The sequence below is a fragment of the Homo sapiens genome, chromosome 10 (genome assembly GCF_000001405.40).
Source record: "Homo sapiens chromosome 10, GRCh38.p14 Primary Assembly".
Classification (NCBI taxonomy): domain Eukaryota; kingdom Metazoa; phylum Chordata; class Mammalia; order Primates; family Hominidae; genus Homo; species Homo sapiens.
The window spans coordinates 23,507,847-23,515,076 of NC_000010.11; the positions used below are offsets into that span (position 1 = coordinate 23,507,847).

The 7,230-nt window shown below is 43.3% G+C and overlaps 3 annotated features.

The window, feature by feature from the left end:
• Window positions 4,016-4,284: a silencer, noted in NCBI's record as "fragment chr10:23800791-23801059 (GRCh37/hg19 assembly coordinates)". NCBI's record gives its function as "represses an EF-1alpha promoter that drives an FKBP-Casp9 reporter gene in an ReSE screen in phorbol 12-myristate 13-acetate-treated (for megakaryocytic differentiation) K562 erythroleukemia cells {active_cell/tissue: K562(+PMA)}" and the evidence as "EXISTENCE:reporter gene assay evidence [ECO:0000049][PMID:32094911]".
• Window positions 4,016-5,385: a biological region, named in NCBI's record as "MED14-independent group 3 enhancer GRCh37_chr10:23800961-23802160".
• Window positions 4,186-5,385: an enhancer, noted in NCBI's record as "MED14-independent group 3 enhancer chr10:23800961-23802160 (GRCh37/hg19 assembly coordinates)". NCBI's record gives its function as "activates an origin of replication core promoter dependent on BRD2, BRD4, P300/CBP and CDK7 cofactors, and independent of MED14, by STARR-seq in HCT116 cells {active_cell/tissue: HCT116}" and the evidence as "EXISTENCE:reporter gene assay evidence [ECO:0000049][PMID:35650434]".

A 7,230-nucleotide genomic window follows, 5' to 3' on the forward strand; every position in this document is an offset into this window, starting at 1 on the left:
TTTCATTGATCTATACCTCTGTTTTGGTACCAGTACCATGCTGTTTTGGTTACTGTAGCCTTGTAGTATAGTTTGAAGTCCGGTAGTGTGATGCCTCCAGCTTTGTTCTTTTGGCTTGGGATTGACTTGGCGATGCGGGCTCTTTTTTGGTTCCATATGAACTTTAAAGTAGTTTTTTCCAATTCTGTGAAGAAAGTCATTGGTAGCTTGATGGGGATGGCATTGAATCTATAAATTACCTTGGGCAGTATGGCCATTTTCAATACCTAATTTTTTGAGAGTTTTTAGCATGAAGCATTGTTGAATTTTGTCAAAGGCCTTTTCTGCATCTATTCAGATAATCATGTGGTTTTTGTCTTTGGTTCTGTTTATATGCTGGATTACATTTATTGATTTGCATATATTAAACCAGCCTTGCATCCCAGGGATGAAGCCCACTTGATCATGATGGATAAGCTTTTTGATGTGCTGCTGGATTGGGTTTGCCAGTATTTTATTGAGGATTTTTGCATCAATGTTCATCAAGGATATTGGTCTAAAATTCTCTTTTTTTGGTTGTGTCTCTGACCGGCTTTGGTATCAGGATGATGCTGGCCTCATAAAACGAGTTAGGGAGGATTCCCTCTTTTTCTATTGATTGGAATAGTTTCAGAAGGAATGGTACCAGCTCCTCCTTGTACCTGTGGTAGAATTCGGCTGTGAATCCATCTGGTCCCGGACTCTTTGGTTGGTAAGCTATTGATTTTTGCCACAATTTCAGAGCCTGTTATTGGTCTATTCAGAGATTCAACTTCTTCCTGGTTTAGTCTTGGGAGGGTGTATGTGTTGAGGAATTTATCCATTTCTTCCAGATTTTCTAGTTTATTTGCTTAGAGGTGTTTGTAGTATTCTCTGATGGTAGTTTGTATTTTTGTGGGATCGGTGGTGATATCCCCTTTATCATTTTTTATTGCATCTATTTGATTCTTCTCTCTTTTCTTCTTTGTTAGTCTTGCTAGCAGTCTATCAATTTTGTTGATCCTTTCAAAAAACCAGCTCCTGGATTCATTAATTTTTTGAAGGTTTTTTTGTATCTCTATTTCCTTCAGTTCTGCTCGGATTTTAGTTATTTCTTGCCTTCTGCTAGCTTTTGAATGTGTTTGCTCTTGCTTTTCTAGTTCTTTTAATTGTGATGTGAGGATGTCAATTTTGGATCTTCCCTGCTTTCTCTTGTGGGCATTTAGTGCTATAAATTTCCCTCTACACACTGCTTTGAATGTGTCCCAGAGATTCTGATATGTTGTGTCTTTGTTCTCGTTGGTTTCAAAGAACATCTTTATTTCTGCCTTCATTTCGTTATGTACCCAGTAGTCGTTCAGGAGCAGGTTGTTCAGTTTCCATGTAGTTGTGCGGTTTTGAGTGAGTTTCTTAATCCTGAGTTCTAGTTTGATTGCACTGTGGTCTGAGAGACAGTTTGTTATAATTTGTGTTCTTTTACATTTGCTGAGGAGAGCTTTACTTCCAACTATGTGGTCAATTTTGGAATAGGTGTGGTGTGGTGCTGAAAAAAAATGTATATTCTGTTGATGTGGGGTGGAGAGTTCTGCAGATGTCTATTAGGTCCACTTGGTGCAGAGCTGAGTTCAATTCCTGGGTATCCTTGTTAACTTTCTGTCTCATTGATCTGTCTGATATTGACAGTGGAGTGTTAAAGTCTCCCATTATTATCGTGTGGGAGTCTAAGTCTCTTTGTAGGTCACTCAGGACTTGCTTTATGAATCTGGGTGCTCCTGTATTGGGTGCATATATATTTAGGATAGTTAGCTCTTCTTGTTGAATTGATCCCTTTACCATTATGTAATGGCCTTCTTTGTCTCTTCTGATCTTTGTTGGTTTAAAGTCTGTTTTATCAGAGACTAGGATTGCAACCCCTGCGTTTTTTGTTTTCCATTTGCTTGGTAGATCTTCCTCCATCCTTTTATTTTGAGCCTATGTGTGTCTCTGCACGTGAGATAGGTTTCCTGAATACAGCACACTGATGGGTCTTGACTCTTTATCCAATTTGCCAGTCTGTGTCTTTTAATTGGAGCATTTAGTCCATTTACATTTAAAGTTAATATTGTTATGTGTGAATTTGATCCTGTCATTATGATGTTAGCTGGTTATTTTGCTCGTTAGTTGATGCAGTTTCTTCCTAGCCTTGATGGTCTTTACAATTTGGCATGATTTTCAGTGGCTGGTACCAGTTGTTCCTTTCCATGTTTAGTGCTTCCTTCAGGAGCTCTTTTAGGGCAGGCCTGGTGGTGACAAAATCTCTCAGCATTTGCTTTCTGTAAAGTATTTTATTTCTCCTTCACCTATGAAGCTTAGTTTGGCTGGATATGAAATTCTGGGTTGAAAATTCTTTTCTTTAAGAATGTTGAATATTGGCTCCCACTCTCTTCTGGCTTGTAGAGTTTCTGCCGAGAGATCAGCTGTTAGTCTGATGGGCTTCCCTTTGTGGGTAACCCGACCTTTCTCTCTGGCTGCCCTTATTTTTTCCTTCATTTCAACTTTGGTGAATCTGACAATTATGTGTCTTGGAGTTGCTCTTCTCGAGGAGTATCTTTGTGGTGTTCTCTGTATTTCCTGAATCTGAATGTTGGCCTGCCTTGCTAGATTGGGGAAGTTCTCCTGGATAATATCCTGCTGAGTGTTTTCCAGCTTGATTCCATTCTCACCATCACTTTCAGGTACACCAATCTGACGTTGATTTGGTCTTTTCACATAGTCCCATATTTCTTGGAGGCTTTGTTCATTTCTTTTTATTCTTTTTTCTCTAAACTTCCCTTCTCACTTCATGTCATTCAGTTCATCTTCCATCACTGATACCCTTTCTTCCAGTTGATTGCATCAGCTCCTGAGGCTTGTGCATTCTTCATGTAGTTCTCGAGCCTTGGCTTTCAGCTCCATCAGCTCCTTTAAGCACTTGTCTGTATTGATTATTCTAGTTATACATTTGTCTAAAATTTTTTCAAAGTTTTTAACTTCTTTGTCTTTGGTTTGAATTTCCTCCTGTAGCTCAGAGTAGTTTGATCGTCTGAAGCCTTCTTCTCCCAACTCATCAAAGTCATTCTCCGTCTAGCTTTGTTCCATTGCTGGTGAGGAGCTGCATTCCTTTGGAGGAGGAGAGGCACTCTGCTTTTTAGAGTTTCCAGTTTTTCTGCTCTGTTTTTTCCCCATCTTTGTGGTTTTATCTACTTTTGGTCTTTGATGATGGTGATGTACAGATGGGTTTTTGGTGTGGATGTCCTTTCTGTTTGTTAGTTTTTCTTCTAACAGACAGGACCCCTCAGCTGCAGGTCTGTTGGAGTTTGTTAGAGGTCCACTCCAGACCCTGTTTGCCTGGGTATCAGCAGCGGTGGCTGCAGAACAGTGGATTTTCGTGAACCATGAATGCTGCTGTCTGATCATTCCTCTGGAAGTTTTGTCTCAGAGGAGTACCCGGCCGTGTGAGGTGTCAGTTTGCCCCTACTGGGGCGTGCCTCCCAGTTAGACTGCTCGGGGGTTAGGGGTCAGGGACCCACTTGAGCAGGCAGTCTGCCTGTTCTCAGATCTCCAGCTGCGTGCTGGGAGTACCACTGCTCTCTTCAAAGCTGTCAGAGAGGGACATTTAAGTCTGCAGAGGTTACTGCTGTCTTTTTGTTTGTCTGTGCCCTGCCCCCATAGGTGGAGCCTACAGAGGCAGGCAGGCCTCCTTGAGCTGTGGTGGGCTCCACCCTCTTCGAGCTTCCCGGCTGCTTTGTTTACCTAAGCAAGCCTGGGCAATGGCGGGCGCCCCTCCCCTAGCCTTGCTGCCGCCTTGCAGTTTGAACCCAGACTGCTATGCTAGCAATCATCGAGACTCCATGGGCATCGGACCCTCTGAGCCAGGTGCGGGATATAATCTCCTGGTGCACCGTTTTTTAAGCCCATTGGAAAAGTGCAGTATTAGGGTGGGAGTGACCCGATTTTCCAGGTGCCGTCTGTCACCCCTTTCTTTGACTAGGTAAGGGAACTCCCTGACCCCTTGCCCTTCCTGAGTGAGGCAATGCCTTGCCCTCCTTCGGCTCGCACACAGTGCGCTGCACCCACTGTCCTGCGCCCACTGTCTGGCACTCCCTAGTGAGATGAACCTGGTACCTCAGATGGAAATGCAGAAATAACCCGTCTTTTGCGTCACTCACGCTGGGAGCTGTAGACTGGAGCTGTTCCTATTCGGCTGTCTTGAAATGTATCCCCCAATTAGCCCTCTTCTTCTTTTCTAAATGGATATGTAGCTTAGTGGAGTACCAAGGACTTGCAACTTGAATCTGATTTTATTTTATTTTTTAAACAAGTAATTATGACTCAAGAGAAGAATCAATGGATATATCTATACTTATACATATACAATGGATATATCTATACTTATACAAAATGAACTCATGTGTATGTTTGTTTTGCTCCCTTAGAAATAATATCCTGTTATTTGTACCAATGTTCCGGAAATCTGCAAGCCTGGTTAACTCAGTAAGAGAATGCACATGGACGCCAGTTCACATTTATTGATTTGGTAGAGAGAGAAAGCAAGAATACAGTAGTCCCAGCATATTTAGTTTTTGCTTTCTGTGGTTTCGTTTATCCTTGGTCAACCACAATCTGAAAATATTAAATGGAAAACTCCAGAACTAAACAATTCATCAGTTTTAAATGTCACGCTGTTCTGAGTAACATGATGAAATCTTGCGTCATCCTGCTCCATCCTGCTCAGGGTGTGACTCATCCCTCAGTCCAGCGGATCCCTTTGGTCACTTAGCTGTCTCGGTTGTCAGATCAACTGTCCTGTTGTCGCATTGCTTGTGTTTGTCACCCTTATTTCACTTAATAATGATCCCAAAGCACAAATAGTGTACTGGCTATTGTTGCTAATCCCTTACTGTGCCTAGTTTATAAATTGAACTTTATCATAGGGATGTGTGTATTAAGAAAACATAGCATATATAGGATTGGGTTCTACTAAGGGTTTCGGGCATCCACAAGGAGTCTTGGAACTTATCCCCTGTGGATAAGAGGGAACTACTGTGCTGTGAGTAATGCCTGTGTCCTGTCACCCTTCTGAAAGGTCACCACAAACGGGGTTTGAAGCAAAGCATTGTCTTGAGAAGAAATAATCAGAATTGACCAAATAATTCACATCATATTGTTACCGGGGGGTCCTTGCTCTCAGAACTCCCAAGATGGTTGTGGGCCACTTCCAAGATGGCAGCAAGCCTCTTGTTCTCTAACCTGGCATTCTTGGCCTCATGGATTCCAAGGAATAGAATCTTGGGCCAGGCGGTGAGTGTTATAGCTCTATTAGAAGCCATGGGTCACGGAAGAGAACCGTAGAACCCAGCAACTAGTATTCAGCTCGATTAGGACGAACCCAGGCACTTAACTGTGCAGCAACAATGGCAAGCCTTTATCCCATTGGGCGCCCCGCTGGATCAGAAGCACAGCAGACACCCTGCCGGATCCGGAGTGGTGAAAGTCAGTGACGGGTCTGCGACAGAGGCAAACAGCAGTAGTGGACGGCGAGTGAAAGCTCAGCTCCAGCCGTAACAAACATGGACCAGAAGAGTGTGCAGCTGCAAGATTTAATAGAGTGAAAATAGAGCTCCCATACAAAGCGAGGGGATCCAAAGCAGGTGGCCATTGCTGGCCGGAATGCCTGGGTTTATATCCTGATCATTGTCCCTCCCCCTGTGCTCTCAGGCAATAGATGATTGGCTATTTCTTTACCTGCTGTTTTTGCCTAATTAGCGTTTTAGTGAGCTCTCTTTACTACCTGATTGGTCGGGTATGAGCTAAGTTGCAAGCCCCGTGTTTAAAGGTGGATGCAGTCACCTTCCCAGCTAGGCTTAGGGATTCTTAGTCTGCCCAGGAAATCCAGCTAGTCCTGTCTATCAATATGACTATACCAGAACGTTTCTATGCCTTTAAATGTCTAAAGAGCTCTCTAGGTATAAGGATTATACAACTATTCTTTGAGTCAACAGAATTTATAAGAAGTTTGAGTTGGGCATGGTGACTCATACTTGTAATCCCAGCACTTCGGGAGGCCAAGGCGGGCGGATCACAAGGTCAGGAGTTCAAGACCAGCCTGGCAAAGATGGTGAAACCCCATCTCTACTAAAAAAAAAAATACAAAAAAATTAGCCAGGCACGGTGGCAGGTGCCTATAATCTTAGCTACTCAGGAGGCTGAGACAGAGAATTACTTGAGCCGAGGAGGCAGAGGTTGCAGTGAGCCAAGATGGCGCCACTGCACTCCAGCCTGGGCGACAAAGTGAGACTCTGTCTCAAAAAAAAAAGTTTGTTTCAAGGTCACTGTGATCTTGAAGCAAGCTGGCACACAAGCAATCTCCAAATGGCTCTTCCTGTGGTCCCAAACTATTGTGAGGTGGCTCAGGAACTCCAAGGGACACCCCAGGAGTATGAAGACAGGAGGACAATCAATGTCCGTGGCTGCATTGTGTGGCCTCTCTGACTTTCTTTCCCTAATGCCTGAGATGTCCATGGGACCCCCACACAGCCCACGACAATGGAAAAGCCTGTTGGGCTGTTTTGCTTTTTCCCATGGTTTAGTTGACTAGCAGGTCTGAGATGGTGCCATCTTTCTTAGAATTGAATTTGTGGTTTATCTGACTCACAAACCATCAATGAATGACGAATTCATTTACAAACACTTGATAAGAATCTACTAGGTGCTTGGGTTGAAGTGACAGAGGCTATTAAGAAATGGTTCCTGCCCTGAAGAAATTTACAGGATGGTGCAGGAGTCAGAGGAGTCAATAAATCTGTTTAATACAATATGATGAGGTCAATGTGGACAGAGAGGGAGCGTGTAGCCAACCTTGGGAATGTTGGGGAGAGGGTCAGAAAGGTGGTCCTGGAAGAAGTGACCTCAGACTTAAGGAATAAGAGATTTGCTGGTTTGCCAAGTAAAGTTTCCTCAACCACAAGAGAAAAGCAAAGCTTAGGTATTCTTTAGTTAGGAACAGAGCAAGAGTAGCTCCTTCCTCTTATTACCCCCATACTACACAATGTAAGGTGTAGTTCTTTTCTTTTCTTTTCTTTCTTCCTTCCTTCCTTCTTTCCTTCCTTCCTTCCTTTCTCCTTCCTTCCTTCCTTCTTTCCCTCACCTCCTTCTTCCATCCTCTCTCTCTCTCTCTTTCTTTCCTTCTTTCTTTCTCTTTCCCTCTTTCTTTTC